This window comes from Homo sapiens, chromosome 11 (assembly GCF_000001405.40).
Source record: "Homo sapiens chromosome 11, GRCh38.p14 Primary Assembly".
Taxonomy (NCBI): Eukaryota; Metazoa; Chordata; class Mammalia; order Primates; family Hominidae; genus Homo; species Homo sapiens.
In genome coordinates, this window is record NC_000011.10 from 34,072,717 (window position 1) to 34,092,709 (window position 19,993).

Below are 19,993 nucleotides of genomic sequence, written 5' to 3' on the forward strand. Positions count from 1 at the left end.
CAGAAAATTAAGCCATCTGAATAAGTGTCATCTTCTTTGGAGAAGACTAATAACATTGAAATACAGGCATGTACTCCATAATGATGTTTCAGTCAACTTTGGACCACATATATGATGATGGTCCCATAACATTGTAATACTGTATTTTTACTGTACCTATTCTGTGTTTCGATATATAAATACCTCTGTGTTACAGTTGCCTACAGTAGTCAGTACAGTAACATGCTGTACACATTTGTAGTCTAGGAGCTAATATGCTATACCACATAGCCTAGGTGTGTAGTAGATTGTACTATCTAGGCCGTGTAAGTACACTCCATGTTTGCACAATGAGGAAATTCCCTACTGACATATTTCTCAGAATGTATCCTTGTTAAGTAATGTGTGACTATGTAAAGTTGCCTCTAATTTGCTGAAACAAAAAAGTTTATTATATGAGACAATGCAGTGTAGGGATTAAGAGATCAGATTCTAGAAACAGACTGCCCAGTTGAATCCTAATTTTGTGACTTGACTTTGTAGTTTGACCATGGATGAGTTACTTAATTTCACTGTTCTTGTATTAGTCAAGGTTTTCCAGAGAAACAGATCCAATAGGATAGAAAGGGGGCTGATGGGCAGAGGCCATCACAGTGCCTCGGTTTTCTAATCTGTAAAGTGGTAATAATAACCTCATACGGTTGTGCTTAGAACAGTATTTGATGCATAACTAATATATTTCAAGCACTTAATCATTTTTGTTTGTTTGTCTTGTTTTGAGACAGAGTCTTGCTCTGTCGCCCAGGCTGGAGTGCAGTGCCGCTGTCTCAGCTCACTGCAACCTCCGCCTCCTGAGTAACTGGGACTACAGACCTGCGCCACCATGCCAGTCTAATTTTCTAATTTTTAGTAGGGATGGGGTTTCACCATGTCAGCCAGGCTTGTCTCAAACTCCTGACCCCTCAGATGATCGGCCTGCCTCAGCCTCCCAAAGTGTTGGGATTACAGTGTGAGCCAACGTGCCTAGCTTCAATTACTTAATCTTAGAATTACTTATTACATCTGATCAGGGAAGGAAAATCTTTGCTGAAAACAAAAAAAGTAATTTAATTTTGTACCTAGTGTCTTAGTCAACTTTGTGTTACTATAATGGAATGCCTGAGACCGGATAATTTATATAAAGAACAGAAATTTGTTTCTCACACTTCTGGATGCTGGGAAGTCCAAGATCAAGGTACCAGCATCTTGTTGCATTACTGTGTCCTCACCTGGTGGTAGAAGGCTTAAGGGCAAGAGAGAGTGATCATACTCCTGCAAGCTCTTTTTATAGTAGTATTAATTCATTCTAAATAGCTCCCAAAAGGCCCACCCTCCCAACACTATTGCGTTGGGAGGGTTAAGTTTCTAACACTTGAATTTTAGGGGGATGCATTCAGACCATAGCACCAAAGGAGAGATTTATTCCACTTAGCTTAATGAACCCTGCCCAATTTCTTTTTCTTGCTTTTTTAAAATAGAAGCAGGATTGCTATACAGTTTAATGTAACATCTATTTTGGAAGTTACTATCACTGTGTAATGAAAATACCTGTATCCTTTTTTGCTTCTCTTGTAACACTGGTATTTTCAGGACCTTTCTCTGAGCTTTAACTTCATTAGCAGAGCTGTTATTTATCTTTGATCCTTTGGTATACTGTACACAATTATTAAACATGCTTTTTGTTTAGCATTCAAGAACTTCTTTAGCCTGGCTCCAGCCTACCTTTTCACCTTTTTCCTTCTTGAACTGTTCATTTCATACAGAATAGCTTTCTTTCTTATCTTCTTTTGCTTTGTTAACTTCCTTTCATATTCCTGTCCCTCTTCCTGTGTTTCCTGCCTCCACCTACCTATAAAGACCTTCCTGGGCAGGGTGTGGTTGCTCACGCCTGTAACCCCAGCACTTTGGAAGGCCGAGGTGGGTGGATCACCTGAGGTCAGAAGTTCGAGACCAGCCTGGCCAACATAGTGAAACCCTGTCTCTGCTAAAAATACAAAAATTAGCCGGGCTTGGCAGCACACACCTGTAATCCCAGGAGGCTGAGGCAGCAGAATTACTTGAATTCGAGAAGTAGAGGTGTCAGTGAGCCAAGATCGTGCCACTGCACTCCTGGGCAACAGAGTGAGACTCCATCTCAAAAAACAAACAAAAAACACCTTCCTGGCTGGTCATGGTGGCTCATACCTGTAATCCTAGTATTTTAAGGAGGCTGAGGTGAGAGGATCGCTTGAGGCCAGGAGTTCAAGACCCAAGACCAGCCTTGGAAACATAGACCTTGCCTCAAAAAACTTTTTTTAAATTATTTTTTTAAAAAAGACTTTTTTTTTTTTCTTGAGACAGTCTCACTGTTTCACCCAGGCTGGAGTGCAGTAGCATGATCTCAGCTCACTGTAGCTATCACTTGCCATTTATTGCTAAGATATTTATTCTGCACACTCTGTTACCATTATAGATTTGTCTTGTTCTTGCAGCCTTCATCATTCTTCCCAGGTCTCCTTCCCCATTTTTCCCTTTAGTATAGGTTTCATATGTCCCTATTTTGGTTTTCTGTGTCTTGGTTCATCCTAGTGAGGCTTGAGAAGGGGGAAAAGGTGGAAAGGAAAGCACTACCATGGCTTTTGAGAAGACTAGCCTTCCTCTATTCCCAACCTCATGTTAGATACACGGGAGAGGGAGAGGAATAATTGAGTTTGGCTGATGCTTTCCTTTCAGCCTTTCCAGGAAAGAAAAAAAGGAATGTGGGAAAAATACATTCATACTTAGCTTTATCTATTTTTCTCCACCAGCATCATCTTATTCATAAAAACAAATTAGGCACTCTTTTCAGTAAGATGGAATAACTTTCTGAGACTGGCAGCGGATTATTTGGGACAAAGGGGCCCTTGTGGGTTTTTGGCATTTCCTTGTGAGTCATTAGTAGATACTCAAAGTTAGAACTTTGGGTCATTTGCCCATAGAGGAGCTAGATTGAGGTAAGATTTTTATTGTTGCTGTGGTTGGGTTTCTTTTTTAATTGGCCTAGGCCTTTACATTTCTGTATAATTTCTAAATTCATTAAATTTTTACTTTTTATATGCATAATGAAAAACTTCAGATATATATACCTAACTAAAGAAAACAATACAATGAAACTCTTTGTACCTGTACCCAGCTTGTATATTTATCATCTCATGGTCAATCGTATTTCATATAAATCCACATTCATTTCCTTGCTCCCTTTGCCCTCTAGATTATTTTCAAACAAGCCCCAAACACATTGTTTCATCAGTAATAGTTCAGTAGTAAAATACCTTCTAGGGAAAGAGCTGTTCTGAATTTTTAACAATTGCTTAAAATAGATTATGTTTAAAACTATTTGTAAGTCAGGAATCATCCTTTTGTGTATTGAGGTCATATCTCACTCATTGAGTAAAACATGTTTTATTTAAGCTGGACCTGAAATGGATTGAACTAAGTTTTATATAACTAATTTTGGTGTTTTACTTTTATATTGTTTTGCAGATTCAGAAAACAATAAAGAAGACAGCACGTCGGGAGCAGCTTATGAGAGAAGAAGCTGAACAGAAACGTTTAAAAACTGTACTTGAGCTACAGTATGTTTTGGACAAATTGGGAGATGATGAAGTGCGGACTGACCTGAAACAAGGTTTGAATGGAGTGCCAATATTGTCCGAAGAGGAGTTGTCATTGTTGGATGAATTCTATAAGCTAGTAGACCCTGAACGGGACATGAGCTTGAGGTATTAGTGGTATTTGATAATAGAAACTTCTGAGTATTTAAGTTGACAACTGAAAGGTTATTAATTAGCTATTTACTATTAAAAGGTTGAATGAACAGTATGAACATGCCTCCATTCACCTGTGGGACCTGCTGGAAGGGAAGGAAAAACCTGTATGTGGAACCACCTGTGAGTATCACTGTGATAACTTTGATTTTATAACTAGGAATCTTTAAAAACTAATTTTCTTATGTTTATAGTTCACTTGGAAGAAAAAAATTAGTTTTTTTTTTTTTTTGGAGACAGAGTCTACTCTGTTGCCCAGGTTGGAGTGTAGTAGTGTGATCTCAGCTCACAGCAACCTCCGCCTCCCAGGTTTAAGTGATTTCTATCACCTCATCCTCCCAAGTAGCTGGGATTACAGGCATGCGCCACCACGCCTGGCTATTTTTTGTATTTTTAGTAGAGACAGGGTTTCGCCATGTAGGCCAGGCTGGTCTCGAACTCCTTACCACAAATGATTCACCTGCCTGGGCCTCCCAGAGTGCTGGGATTACAGGTGTGAGCCACTGCGCCCAGCTAGTTTTCCTATTTAAAATTAATATTAATTGAATAAAATTTAGAAATGTATACATAGCATTCATCTGCTATTTACTGTTTGGTTTATTTCTTTTTTGTTTCTTTGTATGTTTAATCTGTAATGTGGAAATCAGAACACCAGCAACAAACAACTAAAACTGGGAATATGATAGTCCTAACTTCACATGGTCTTGTATGTAACTTAACTGTGTTTGAGGTGGACAGATTAACATTAGATTGACTTTCCACAGCTTTTGGTAATAGATAGGGACTGTTTGTTTTATGGCTGAAGTTTTGTGAAACAATTATTGCATTTCATACATTCTGCTCATGGTTATTGCCTTAGTTTTTCTTTAGTTTGTCTTAGACATCTGCTAATTTGAGGATGTTAATTTTTTTCTGTATTTAAAATATGCTGATACTTGGTCTAGTTTTCTTTGTGAGCTCCTTATTCTCAAACATGCAACTGTGAACTGATTTTTTTAAAAAGGGACATTTACGTTTCACTCCTTCAGTATAGGAATTTACGTTTTTAGCCTTCTGTGAAATCAGGGAATAGATTCTTATCTTTGCCATTTATAAGGTTGCATTAGGAAGGTAGATTTTTGAACATAAAATGAAAGTATCTGTATTTATGCATTTTTAGCTATTGGTTGAAAAGAAATCAGATTGGATTATAAGCTTTAATCACCAAAATGGTATGAGCTTTAATTGGCAAAATTTAGAAGAGTATATTTGCTTTAAGGAAATGGGTGCCAGTCCTTGTCTGTCCTTTCTTCATTTAAGAAATAATTTTCTTGGTTTGTTAACATTTACTCTGGTCTGTATTTCTTTGTACAATATGTGTTTACCCTTTTGCTTTTAGTTCTGCAAGTTCTATATGTATAAGCTTGTTAACTTAAAAAAGTAGTTTTAGGTCAAGCTTCATCAGATTTTCATGAGCATTGTTGAAGAGTAACAAAGGTGTTATTAAACCTTTAAGCTTATAGCTTGTTTTGGGGTTATTTTCTACCTAATCTTGTTCCCACATCTTAGGAATGTAACATCTTTACAATGGAAAGGTACTAATCTTTATAATGGGAAGGTACTAATATACCCAAATTAGTGTTTTTATGTACATTTGATTTGTATCTATAACTTTTTGAAAACAGTTTTGAGCCAGGAGCCGCTGAAGTGAAATAAGGAAAACATATGAAGTGTTCATTATCTAAAGAGTTGTTGGTAGTTTATTAAGATTAATTTCCCAATGCTTTTGATACAATATGGTCCTCAAAGTTTTATTTTTCTTCACAGTGACCTATCGGGGAGTGGCCCTACTATGTATCTATTAATAATACACAAGCTAAGAAAATTGAAAGTAATAACTCTTCATACATCTCCCCCTCTGCCCTGCACTTTTAAAAAATACCCTGGTACACCAAATTCTGATAGTTTTTGTTTGTTTTTGAATATCTTTCGATTGTCTACTTTTTTCTCTTCTACTTTTATACCTTTCTCTTGTCTGACGCAGTTGCTTAACTGAGTCCACCCCTCTCCCTCTTTAAAATCTTTAGTGGCTTCATCTCAGTTTTATTTTATATAAGTTTGTCCTTAACTTCAAGGACATTCATGGTCTGGCCTTTACCAGTTTCTCCAGCCACATCTTTCCCTATGCTTGTTTTTTATTCCCTGTATTTTAGCCACAGTGGCTTCCTTTCCTTTTCTTGTATTTGACATCTTTTGTATAGGACTTTGTAATGCTCTTTCTTCTCCCTTGAAACACTTCTTCCCCTCTACTCTTCTGGATTTCAACTCTTGTAGCACTTACCTAGGGAAACCTTTTGTGGCCTCACTCTGATTGGGTCCAGTCCATTGTAGTTCTGTGTAGTACTTTTCACAGATGTAAGTTTTTTGTAGTTGTATTTGATACCACTTCTGTTAGACCATAAGCTTATTGAGGGGATATATTGTGTCTTTACATAACTTTTTGTTTTCCCAGTGCCTAGCATATTGTCTAATGTGTAGTAGGTGCTGAATAAATACTTTTGAATGAATAAATGTTAAATGTCATCTTTTTCCACCTAACTAGTTTACTTAAAATACATAAAGTTCAGGCCGGGCATGGTGGCTCATGCCTGTTAATCCCAGCCCTTTGGGAAGCCAAGGTGGGCATATCGCCTGAGGTCAGACCTTCACTAGGCAACATGGTAAAACCTTGCCTCTACTGAAAATACAAAAATTGGCTGGACGTGGTGGTACACGCCTGTAATCTCAGCTACTTGGGTGGCTGAGGAACAAGAATTGCTTGAATCTGGGAGGCAGAGGTTGCAGTGAGCTGAGATAACGCCACTGCACTCCAGCCTGGGTTTCAGAGCAAGACTGTATCTCAAAAACAAACAAACAAAAACCCCGTAAAGTTTAATATAACTACATTCTTCTTGTTCCCTATCATTCTGTAATACATTTCTGTTCTTGGTGAAATGTAATCTTTTTATGTGTATATGTGTTTTAGTAACAGTTATTTTTTAATCACAATATTTTATAGAATGTTGGATCTTCTTCAAGCCAGGCATCCTCAGATAAGTCTTACATTATAATTCATGTTCTTTTTCTTAGATAAAGTTCTAAAGGAAATTGTTGAGCGTGTTTTTCAGTCAAACTACTTTGACAGCACCCACAACCACCAGAATGGGCTGTGTGAGGAAGAAGAGGCAGCCTCAGCACCTGCAGTTGAAGACCAGGTACCTGAAGCTGGTGAGTATTAGGTGGATATCAACTTTAGTTTAGGGTCCTGGTTTTATTTGATTTTGCTACAAATTTAAACTATACACTTACTTAGTTTTCATATATGTACACTAGATTTTATTTTTAAAGAGACTTTAAGCATGACAAAGTTTTTTTTTTTTTTTTTTTTTTTTTTTTTTTTTTTGGAGACAGAGTCTCGCTCTGTTGCCCAGGCTGGAGTGCAGTGGCGTGATCTCGGCTCACTGCAAGCTCCGCCTCCTGGGTTCACGCCATTCTCCTGCCTCAGCCTCCTGAGCAGCTGTGACTACAGGCGCCCGCCACCACGCCCGGCTATTTTTTTGAATTTTTAGTAAAGACGGGGTTTCACTGTGTTGGCCAGGATGGTCTCGATCCCTTGACCTCGTGATCCACCCGCCTCGGCCTCCCAAAGTGCTGAGATTACAGGCGTGAGCCACTGCGCCCGGCCTTGACAAAATGTTAAGACAGATTATCAAGAGTAATTCCTACCAGTATTCATTATATTTGTCTTAGTAGTCATTTGTCTTACTAGTCTTGATCACTATTATAAACTGATAGATAGTTCTTTTGCAGTAGTATTGATGGGCAGGAGTATGGGTGAGGGCCAGCTGTTACAAGGATTTTCAAATAGGTTTCTGTCTGACATGCCCAGATTTGCTATTTACTATGCCAGTGCATTGGAGGAATAGTATGAGTTGCTTTTGTTTTGTTTTAATCATGGGGAGATTATAGCTCCATAATCTTGAACTATAAATTCCTCCAAGGCAAGGGGTCTTTTCCAGTTAATTTTATCATGTAGCACAACACTAATTATATAGCTAGACACTTAACTGTGAATACTTTTATGATAACTCTTATGTTGATGAGTAAAATTCTGAATACAAGGAAACATTGGAGCATAAGTTTTGTTAGAATCAGAGTGCCTGAATTTAAATCTTCGCTTCAACACTTACTAGCTCTGTAACTTTGGGCAAGTTAATGAAACTCTTGTACCTCAGGTTCCCCGTTTAGAAAATATGTCAAGTGTGTATACAGTGCCTGACACGTGGTAAGCACTTAGTAACTGGTAGCTAGTAGGTTGAAACTAGAAGTGAAGATTGTACATTGGTGGAGTTAATAGTTGGAGATTAATATAAGGCAATCTTTTTCCCCCTCTTACCACTTTACTAAGTAAAGTAAGATTTTTAATCTGTATGCTGCTTCATACTACTACTTATGAGACGGGAGAGGGCTTTTAATATAGTAGCTCTTTATTTGCATTATACATTATCTGAAATAGCTACTGTTGAACCTAAAGTAATTCTGGAATAAATGGTAAAGAAAACTTTCTAAAATATAAAACACTGTTAATTAACTTTATAAATAAGTTTGTAAGTAAATTCAGATTATGTGATGGCAAACTATTTACTTATTTGGAATTTAAGTTGAATTCTTTTTTTTTTTTTTGAGACAGTCTCTGTTTGTCACTCAGGCTGGAGTGCAGTGGTGTGATCCTGACTCACTGCAACCTCTGCCTCCCGGGTTCAAGCGATTATCCTGTCTCAGGCTCCTGAGTAGTGGGGACTACAGGCGCATCACCACACCAGGCTAATTTTTGTATTTTCAGTAGAGATGGGGTTTCACCATGTTGGTCAGGCTGGTCTCGAACTCCTGACCTCAGGTTATCCACCCGCCTTGGCCTCCCAAAGTGCTGGGATTACAGGCATGAGCCACTGTGCCCAGCCTTTTTTTTTTTTTGAGTCAGAGTCTAGTTCTGTCGCCCACGCTGGAGTGTAGTCGCATGATCTTGGCTCACTGCAGTTTCCACCTCCAAGGGTCAAGCAATTCTCCTGCTTTAGCCTCTCGAGTAGCTGGGATTACAGGTGCATGGCACCACACCTGACTCAGTTTTTTTTGTATCTTTAGTAGAGACAGGGTTTCACCATATCGGCTAGGCTGGTCTCAAACTCCTGACCTCAAGTGATCTGCCCACATTGGCCTCCCAAAGTCCTGAGATTATAGGCGTGAGCCACCATGCCCGGCCTTAAGTTGAATTCTTTTTTGTGGGGGACAGGGGGCACTGAGTCTCACTCTGTCACCCAGGCTGGAGTGCAGTGGCGCGATCTCAGCTTGCTGCAACCTCTGCCTCCCGGGTTCAAGCGATTCTCATGCCTCAGCCTTCCCAGTAGCTGGTATTACAGGCACACACCACCATGTCTGGCTAATTTTTGTATTTTTAGTAGAGACGGGGTTTCACCATGTTGGCCAGGCTGGTCTCAAGCTCCTGACCTCAGGTGATCCCCCAACCTCGGCCTCCCAGAGTGCTGGGATTACAGGCGTGAGCCAGCGCGCCTGGCCTAGTTGAATTCTTAACTTTAAAAAAGATTTATTACACTTTATGGCATCATTTCTAAAAATAGACTTTATTTTTATTTTTTATTTTTATTTTTTGAGATGGAGTTTTGCTCTTGTTTCCCAGGTTGGAGCACAATGGCCTGATCTCGGCTCACTGCAACCTCCATCTCCCAGGTTCAAGCGATTCTCCTGCCTCAGCCTCCTGAGTAGCTGGGATTGCAGGCGTCCGCCACCATGCCCGGCTAATTTTTTGCATTTTTAGTAGAGTTGGGGTTTCACCAGGTTGGCTAGGTTGGTCTCGAACTCCTGACCTGAGGTGATCCACCTGTCTTGGCCTTCCAAAGTGCTGGGATTACAGACATGAGCCACTGTGCCTGGCCGACTTTATTTTTTAGAGCAGTTTTAGGCTCACAGCAAAACTGAACAGAAGGTGTAGAGATTTCCCATTTACTTTCTACCCTCACAGATGCACAGCCTCCCTCATTGTCAGCATCCCCCCAACCAGAGTGGTACATTTGTTAACAATGGATAAACCCAAACTGACACATTATTATCACCCAAAGTCCATAGTTTACATATGGGTTTACTCTTATTGTTAATAATTCTCTGGGTTTGGACAAATGCATAATGACGTGTATCTACCAATATCACACAGAGTAGAGTAGTATCACTGACCTAAAAATCCTTTTGTTTTGCACCATTTTTTAACCTCTTAGAACCTGAGCCAGCAGAAGAGTACACTGAGCAAAGTGAAGTTGAATCAACAGAGGTATGATTTTAATTTAATGCTGCCTTTACTTTGCTGCCTTTCAAACAAATGTCTCAAACATTTACTTTGCTTTGCAGTATGTAAATAGACAGTTCATGGCAGAAACACAGTTCACCAGTGGTGAAAAGGAGCAGGTAGATGAGTGGACAGTTGAAACGGTTGAGGTAAGAGTTCTCTGTATTGCAAAGTTGTTGTCTTTGTCTTCAGTTAGTAATTTTTATCTCTACTGAGAACAAATTAAGATTGTTTTTTGCATTATTAGTACATTTATTATAATAACAGACTCATTACACCAGACTGTTACTTCCAAAAAATGAATGTTTATCCCTGTGGATGTTTAATAGGATCCCTGCTTTGCTGAACCAATCTAAAAAAATTATTTTATACAAAGTTATCTGTGGATTAATCTGTTACCATGATTTGTCTCTTACTGAAATTAGGTTGCTCTGTAAAAATCTGGGCTCCCACACTGATAGCTGTGTTTTGGGGTATCATCTTGCACTCCTCCTTTACCCTAATGCTGTTTGGTCACCAGGCTGTAGACTTCCTCTAGCGTTTTCTAATGCTGTCTCTCAACTGATAATGATGATTTTTTTCGGGTCCTCATGTCTAGTTCAGTGACTCTCTTCATATTACTCCTCTCTGACTGCCTCCAGACCATCCTATTCATTGTCACAACTTAATTATTGGAAAAGTTAGCTTTAAGTTACTTGTACTTGAGGCTCTCAGTGATGCCTTGTTACCTGTAAGATACAGTCTAAAAACCTTACCAACTGGTCCTGGCCTTCCTTTTGATCTTCTTTTAGATGTCTTTCTTTACACCCCCAAGGTGCAGGAAAATAGCTGTAAGCTGAGGGTAATATGCTTTTCCTTTTAATATGTTATTCTTATATCAAGACCATTCTCTTGGCCGGGCACGGTGGTTCATGCCTGTAACCCCAGCACTTTGTGGGGCTGAGGCAGGTGGATCACATGAGGCCAAGAGTTAGAGACCAGCCTGGCCAGCATGGTGAAACCCAGTCTCTACTTCAAAAACAAACAAAAACCTGGGCATGGTGGTGCATGCCTGTAATCCCAGCTACTTGGGAGGCTGAGGTACGAGAATCACTTGAACTGGGGAGACAGAAGTTGTAGTGAGCTGAGATCGTGCCACTGCATTCCAACCTGGTTGACAGAGACTCTGTCTCAAGAAGAAAAAAACCCATTTTCCAAAGAGATTGCAAAGTTTTTTTTTTTTGAGAGTCTCACTCTTGCCCAGTAGAGATGGGGTTTCACCATTTTGGCCAGGCTCGTCTTGAATTCCTGACCTCAAGTGATCTGCCCGTTTCAGCCTCCCAAAGTGCTGGGATTACAGTCATGAGCCACTGCGCCTGGCCCATAGATGTTATAATTGTGCCAGCAACTTCATCCCTCTGTTGGAGCACCAAAATGTCCCATTGGTAAGGTAAAGAGAGTAGGCACTTACCCCAGAAAGGTACTTGGGATGAAAATACTGCTCAGGAAGTCCCAACAAAATAGTGTATATTTGCTGAATTAAAGAATGCAGTTCAGAAATGTTATAGGAGGATTAGAAGAGAAATCAATCAAAAAGATTAGTAGAGGTGATTTACAGTTGTTCCTTGTTATACCAGGGGCATTGGTTTTAGGACACTCCCACACACCGAAGTCTGCTCATACTCAAGTTGTGCCATGTATCTGCGGGACCCACATATATACAGGTGTTTCACATCTCAAGAGTACTGGAGGATAAGTGAACCTGTGCAGTTCAAGCCCATGTTGTTCAAATGTCAGCTGTATATATGAGGTGTACAAACCCATTGAGCCTTGACTAAGTCGATGGGATGTATGTTTTTAGGGGAGCCAGGTAATAGGGATGTATAGCATGGATGTAGAAGTAGAAATGAACTATTAACATATTTGTTTTATTGAACATAGAATGCAAGGTAAATATTGACATAGTAGGAAGAAGTTGGGAAGCAGTATACAGTGCTTTGTAGTTAAGTATTTTTTGGATTTTATTTGAGAAGAGCATACTACTTGCCACTGTGCCAGTGTGGTTTGTTCTTTGTATCTAGTAGGTGGGCCTTTCTAAAGGCTATCCACATGAGATTCCACGAATTTTTGGAGCATCCTGAAGTTGGTATTACACAGATTGTTGGTTTCGCTTTGGTAGTGATTTTTATCTGTGTTGTTTATAAAGGGAATAGCTGATTTTGCCTAGTTTCAACCAGTATGACTTGTCCAGTTTTAAATCCAGACAGAATAATATAAATTTGATGTAATAAAAGATAGGATTTCCTTGCAGAGCAGGGAATTACTAAGAACAATAAGCAGAGGAAATTATTAGAGCTGGGAAAAGGCTAATAGAGTGAGCTTTGGCTTCTGTAGCAGTTTAGATGAGTTGGTAAAGCTTGATCCTATGGTGTTGGCTGAGAAAATGGAATGGGAAAAACCCAAATCTTGATGATAATAATAGCTAACATTTCTTGAGTGCTATGTACCAGGTTGTGAGATAGATATATATTTGACATAGATATATAAATCCAGTTACTATAGAAGGCATAACAGTTTTAAGAAAAATACATTATTTTAGGATGTAAACACAGGTAATCTTTCTTTGAAAGCAGCTTATAAAATAAATCTGAGGCTGGGCATGGTGGCTCATGCCTGTATTCCCAGCACTTGGGATGCCAAGGCGGGTGGGTCACAAGGTCAGGAGTTCAAGACCAGCCTGGCCAATATGGTGTGAAACCCTGTCTCCGCTAAAAATACAAAAATTAGCCGGGTGTGTTGATGGGTGCCTGTAATCCCAGCTACCTGAGAGGCTGAGGCAGGAGAATTGCTTGAACCCGGGAGATGGATGTTGCAGTGAGTCGAGATCCCGCCACTGCTGTCCAGCCTGGGTTACAGAGCTAGATTCCGTCTCGAAAGAAAAAAAAATAAATAAATAAGTAAATCAACATGAAATGCTACATAGTGGTCTTATGGAACTGAAACACTGTAGAAGTGATGACATTTTTCAGAATGTTAAATTTGGCATAAATGTAATTCATTTGGGTAACTGCATTAAAGCCCGTTCTGTTTATAGTATAGATGGTTTATGTAGTGTGGGGGACCCATCATGGTGGTAGTGAGTGGAGCTTTTTTGCTCTCCTATTCCTTCTAATCCTTTTTTTTCTACCTTAGGTGGTAAATTCACTCCAGCAGCAACCTCAGGCTGCATCCCCTTCAGTACCAGAGCCCCACTCTTTGACTCCAGTGGCTCAGGCAGATCCCCTTGTGAGAAGACAGCGAGTACAAGACCTTATGGCACAAATGCAGGGTCCCTATAATTTCATACAGGTATGTTCATTTTAGTCAGACTCTGTAACAGAAAGTTTAAGTGTTTATATTATTTGACTTTATTCTATCCTAACTTAACCTGTAGGATTCAATGCTGGATTTTGAAAATCAGACACTTGATCCTGCCATTGTATCTGCACAGCCTATGAATCCAACACAAAACATGGACATGCCCCAGCTGGTTTGCCCTCCAGGTTAGTAGTGGTACATTTTTATGTGAGAGAGAAATATAAGGCCAGTACTTTCAGGTTTTAAAAAGATTGTGAAAATAAATTTTGTTTATTTTAATGACTGTTTAATTTTGACTCTTAGGTCTTTTAATTTGATAGAAAGAATGTTATTGTTCCTATGATTTGAATTAAAAATGTAGTTTATAACTGTTTATTTTTAAACTTTTCATTGGCATGTAGATATAGAAAAATATACGCAAGTTTAATGAGTTTTTATAAACTGAAAACACCTGCAGCTAGATTAAGAAATGAAACATTACCAGTACCCCAGAAACCTACGTTGTTTCCTTTCAATCACTAGTTACCCTCACCCCTAGCGATAGCAACCACTTCCGTACTTGTAACTGTAATAGACCAGTTTTGTCTGTTTTTGTAACTTTAACAAGTGAAATTTTGCTTGGCTTTTAAAATTTCAAAATTAATCTAGGAGTAAAAATAATAGAGGTGCCTTTTTTTGAATGCTTTTAGCTTTCTAGGAGAATTTCTGGATTTTATTACCTTAAAAAAATACACAGCAATGAAGTGGGTAAGGGAATATGTAAGAGGCAAAGGGAAGAGAGAAACCACAAGACAGTTTCAGACTCTTTCTGGACTTACACCATTATTTGAAGTAGTAGCACTAAATACAGTTGGTGCCTTCCATTGGGTTAAGTGGACCTTCTCTCCAGGACTATTAGTGATTGTGAGTCATCTTGGTTTTTCCCAGAACACATCAGTTTTAGTTGCACAAAAGTGGAACTAAATAAAATAACCTATTTAATGTTGCATGATGTTAAATATCATAAAATAAATTGCTGAGTAAAAGTATGTTTAATGACAGTTAATTTGGTGTAAGGTAGTTAGGATTTTTCTGAAGTAAAGGGAGCTCATATCTCTCACATTTTTTTTTTTTTTTTTTTTTTGAGACGGAGTCTCGCTCTGTCGCCCAGGCTGGAGTGCAGTGGCGCAATCTCGGCTCACTGCAAGCTCCGCCTCCCGGGTTCACGCCATTCTCCTGCCTCAGCCTCCCAAGTAGCTGGGACTACAGGCGCCCGCCACTACACCCGGCTAATTTTTTGTATTTTTAGTAGAGACGGGGTTTCACTGTTTTAGCCGGGATGGTCTCGATCTCCTGACCTCGTGATCCGCCCGCCTCGGCCTCCCAAAGTGCTGGGATTACAGGCGTGAGCCACCGCGCCCGGCTCTCACATTTCTATCAAGAGTTTTAGAAAACAGATCAAAGGTGACACCTACAAGAGAGCAATCATGGTTTTTAGTGTTCATTTTCTGAGCTCTACCAAAGGAAGAGAGTAAGTCGTTTTCTCAGCTGGGGAGTTGTGTGAAAGTCAGTATACATAGCACTGATAAAACCTGTAAGGCTATTTAGTTATTTACATAATGCTGAGTCCATTAGACTCTCCAGTGAAAATGGGTACTTTCTAAATGACTAACCAAAGATCGTCGTTTTGATTATCTGTTTAATCATTGTTGGGAAGGGAGGTGAGAGAGTGATGGGAATTGTTAAGAAGATGCATGCTGAGTTGAATATAGGCTGTTAAAAAGTATATATTATTTATTTGTTTATTTAGAGACGCAGTCTCGCTCTATCGCCAGGCTGGAGTGCAGTGGCGCATTCTTGGCTCGGCACGCTGCAACCCCTGCCTCCCGGGTTCAAGGGATTCTCCTGCCTCAGCCTCCCCAGTAGCTGAAAGTACAGGCACACACCACACTACACCCAGCTAATTTTTGTATTTTAAGTAGAGATGGGGTTTCACCATGTTGGCCAGGATGGTGTCAATCTCTTGACCTCGTGATCCACCCGCCTCGGCCTCCCAAAGTGCTGGGATTACAAGCATGAGCCACTGTGCCTGGCCGAAAAGTACATATTTTAAATTTTCTTTTTCTCTAGAAACACTTGAAATTGAAAGTTGGTTATGTTAACATATATTGAGCCGGGTATGGTAGCTCATGCCTGTAATCTCAGTGCTTTGGGAGGCTGAGGAGGGAGGATCACTTGAGCCCAGGAGTTTGAGACCAGCCTGAGCAACATAGACCTCGCCTCTACAAAAAAATTAAAAATTAGTCAAATAAAAAAGTTAGCTTGGCAGGGTGGCATGCATCTATAGTCCCAGCTACTCAAGAAGCCAAGGTGGGAGGATTTCTTGAGCCCAGAGTTTGAGACTACAGTTAGCTATGATGGCGCCACTGCACTCCAGCCTGGGCAACACAGTGAGACCCTGTTTCAGAAGAAACAAAAGGTCAAAATGGAATACTATCTGTCTGAGGTCTAGAGTATGAATAATGCCACTTTATTGTACAGCTTTAAAAGTCTTTTTTCATGGCACTGATTATTTGTTAGTGCATTCTATTAACATTTTACTTTACTTTTGGAAAAAACAAGATGAAACCAATTGTGAAAGTAAACTATTAAATAATAACCACTGCCGGTAAACCAAAATGCTCACTTGAAAGCTAAAATTTTATCTGCATTTCCCAATTTACTTTCATGATTGCTAAAAAGTTTATTTATGGTTTGGCTATAGAAATTTACCTTTAATTGCTGGGCATGGTGGTTCATTCCTATAATCCCAGCACTTTGGGAGGCTGAGGTGGGCAGATTGCTTGAGCCTAGGAGTTTGAGACCAGCCTGGGCAACATGGCGAAACCCTGTCTCTACTAAAAATACAAATATTATCCGAGTGTGGTGGCACACACCTGTAGTCACAGCTACTTGGGAGGCTGAGGTGGGAGGATCACTTGAGCCTGGGAGGCAGAGGTTGCAGTGAGCTAAGATCACATCACTGTACTCCAGCCTGGGTGACAGAGTGAGACACTCCCCCCCCCCCCCCCCCCGCAAAAAAAAAAAAAAAAAAAAAAAGCCTTTAATAGCGAAATAAAAGGTATTTAGACGCGTCTCTCTAAAAATTTAATTTTGTTTGACAAAAATGTTTTGGTCACCTTTGCAGTTCATTCTGAATCTAGACTTGCTCAGCCTAATCAAGTTCCTGTACAACCAGAAGCGACACAGGTAAGAGTGATAAAACTATTTTCTTCAGGGCCAGGTTAGGTGGCTCGTACCTATAATCCTAGTACTTTAGGAGGCTGAGATGGGAGGATCACTTGAGGTCAGGAGTTCAAGACCAGTCTGGGCAGTGTAGCGAGACACCATCTCTATTTTAAAAAAATAATTAAAAAATATTTTTTCACTTTTGTTTTAATTGGTTCCTTGGTTTCTTTCTTAGCTTATGAAAGAAAATAAGAATTTCATCAGTGTCCAAGTCTTCTGTTGGAATTCAGCAAATTTATTGTTGTGGATAGCTGTCAGCCTTTATTTTTATGTTTAGGTTCATTTTTCCTCTTGATGACTTTTTAAGTTTTTCTTAAGTCTTGCATTTTAAATAATGTATTATAATATAATAAGCCTTTTTTATTTAGAACTGAGAATTTCAGAAGACATAGTTTAGACATAATTCTAAAATTTAGTGCAGATTTCTCCATCTTAGAAGTACTTGTGGAGGGCTTTTATAACGAGACTTGGGTTTATTTAACGTCGAGCTTCAAAAATATATATATTTTTGCAATTTTTAGGTTTTATATTATACAAATTTAAAGAGAGATGGTAATATTAATTTCTCCCTTCTTTAGCAGTTGTATCTATTTCTTAGCCTTATGCGTCTTAGAGGTAACTTGTTTTTTTAACAGTCAATTTTGTAAGCAGGAAGAAGCTTTTATTTCTTTACTTATGTCTAGGTTCCTTTGGTATCATCCACAAGTGAGGGGTACACAGCATCTCAACCCTTGTACCAGCCTTCTCATGCTACAGAGCAACGACCACAGAAGGAACCAATTGATCAGATTCAGGCAAGTTCTGTTACCGGGTCACATACATTTGATGAGGCACTTACTCATGAATTGAACAGATGTACATTACCATTAATATAATGATTCTTCTTTTTGGACCTACTTTGCTTTCATGAAATATTTGAGTTTGTTAATACATATAAGTTTGAGATTAATTTACCACTTTAGTACATCTGTTCACTTTTTGTTTGGCTAAGTTTAGTTTACCGCTAAAGTGCATCTATTCACTTTGTGTTTAGGCAACAATCTCTTTAAATACAGACCAGACTACAGCATCATCATCCCTTCCTGCTGCGTCTCAGCCTCAAGTATTTCAGGCTGGGACAAGCAAACCTTTACATAGCAGTGGAATCAATGTAAATGCAGCTCCATTCCAATCCATGCAAACGGTAAGCAAATTAACTAACATTAATTGCCTAGTATGTAATATGAATCATGGTAGATTTTCTTTTCTTTTTTAAAGGTCTTCATTTAACTGTGCTTGAGTCTGCATCTTTCATTAACTGTAGGGTATATTTAATTGAACATAAACTGATTATTCCAGAGATTAACTGATACTAACGGATATTCTAGAGATAAATTTTAGCCTTATGAGTGATGTGCCTGTATCATCTTAATTTGTAGTTTTACCCTTTTGATTTGATTAACAAAAGCTTAAACATTCAGAGAAATAGACTAATATAACATCCATATAATCATTACCTAGATTTAATAGTTGCCCTGTTTGCTTAATCTTTTATTTTACTGAAGTATTTTGAAGTTTCAGATGTTATGCTTTACCTTGATTCTTGAGCAAGCACCTTTAGAGAATTTCTAGAAAATAATAATAATACTATAATCTGTGGGGTGCAGCTAAATCGGTGCTGAGAGGAAAGTTCATAAGATTAAATATTAAAATAACTTTTGATTAATATGTTAATAAAAATGAAAAAACATTCAACCCTGTTAAAGTTCATAGAACAAACTTCTGTAAGTGGTACTGCATCCAGGAGTTTGTCTTATTTATTTATTTTTTGAGACAAAGTCTTGCTCCGTCGCCCAGGCTGGAGTGTAGTGGCGTGATCTCAGCTCACTGCAATATCCGCCTCCTGGGTTCAAGCGATTCTCATGCCTCAGCCTTTGGAGTAGCTGACACTCCAGGCATAAGCCACCATGCCCAGCTAATTTTTGTATTTTTAGTAGAGACGGGGTTTCACCATGTTGGCCAGGCTGGTCTTGAACTTTTGGCTTCAGATGATCTGCCTGCCTCAGCCTCCCAAAGTGCTGGGATTACAGGTGTGAGCCACTGTGCCAGGCCAGAGTTTGTCTTTTAAAAAGATTTCTCATATATGTAAAAGCATTTCCAAGGCTGCTGATTGCATGTCTTTTTATTTTTTTTAATTCCCTACTTCCATTTCACAGCATATTATACTCCCCTTTAAGTACTATATGGTATATATGTCTTTTTCCACATTGAATCACTTGGAGGGATTTTTGTATGTGTGTGTGATGTTTTTGTGTTTGAGACCTCTGTGATGTCTTTATTTATGTCTGAGGTAAAACCACCATTGAGTTTGGCCATGTTATAAACCAGAGAATAAAAGGATGAACTAATCATTTACTTTATTTACTAACAGGTGTTCAATATGAATGCCCCAGTTCCTCCTGTTAATGAACCAGAAACTTTAAAACAGCAAAATCAGTACCAGGCCAGTTATAACCAGAGCTTTTCTAGTCAGCCTCACCAAGTAGAACAAACAGAGCTTCAGCAAGAACAGCTTCAAACAGGTACGAAATCCAGTGTCACCTCATTGGCTCCTTGCTTTCCAGCACAGTTATTGACAGTGTTAGGACAGTTTAGACTTCAGAGTGGTGGTGTCCAAGAGTTTCTGTTTTAGTAGCAGACCATATGAATTTTTCATTTCAGATCATGAGTTAAATTGAGTCTGTACTTGTATATGTGAATTATGTGCAATTTTTGGAGGCTTTATAGCCATTTTCCTTTTGTCACTGAACTTACATAATATCCCTGTTGCATTGTATAATTTATATGGAATTAAATTTGTTACTTGAATTACCATAAAGTGTACTTTTTTTTTTTTTTTTGAGATGGGGTCTCACTCTGTCACCCAGGCTGGAGCGCAGTGCCGTGATCTCGGCTTACTGCAACCTCTGCCTCCTGGACACAAGCAATCCTCCCTACCTCAGCCTCCCAAGTAGCTTGGGAATACACGCATGTGCCACCACGTCCAGCTAATTTTTTGTATTTTTGGTAAAGTTGGGGTTTCACCATGTTGCCCAGGCTTGTCTTGAACTTCTGAGCTCACGTGATCTGCCCACCTCAGCCTCCCAAAGTGCTGGAATTAAAGGCGTGAGCCATTGCACCTGGTGATAAACTATACTTTTAATTGTTAATTGATTGAAGGCTTTTAGCATGATAT

At 39.2% G+C, this 19,993-nt stretch overlaps 1 protein-coding gene across 5 annotated transcripts in view; it reads left to right on the forward strand.

The window, feature by feature from the left end:
• Positions 1-19,993, forward strand: part of CAPRIN1 (cell cycle associated protein 1) — a 50,880-nt gene that overhangs the window by 20,986 nt on the left and 9,901 nt on the right. For 3 of the 5 annotated variants that reach the window (NM_005898.5, NM_203364.3, XM_047426959.1), the window contains 11 exons: positions 3,520-3,758; positions 3,844-3,926; positions 6,912-7,049; positions 10,109-10,161; positions 10,239-10,325; positions 13,348-13,503; positions 13,589-13,697; positions 16,679-16,740; positions 17,463-17,573; positions 17,813-17,962; positions 19,190-19,340. In NM_005898.5, coding sequence (NP_005889.3) covers positions 3,520-3,758; positions 3,844-3,926; positions 6,912-7,049; positions 10,109-10,161; positions 10,239-10,325; positions 13,348-13,503; positions 13,589-13,697; positions 16,679-16,740; positions 17,463-17,573; positions 17,813-17,962; positions 19,190-19,340 — 1,339 coding nt within the window. The remainder of the gene's footprint in view (positions 1-3,519; positions 3,759-3,843; positions 3,927-6,911; positions 7,050-10,108; positions 10,162-10,238; positions 10,326-13,347; positions 13,504-13,588; positions 13,698-16,678; positions 16,741-17,462; positions 17,574-17,812; positions 17,963-19,189; positions 19,341-19,993) is intronic. The other 2 variants (XM_047426960.1, XM_047426961.1) reach the window with 1 other exon arrangement.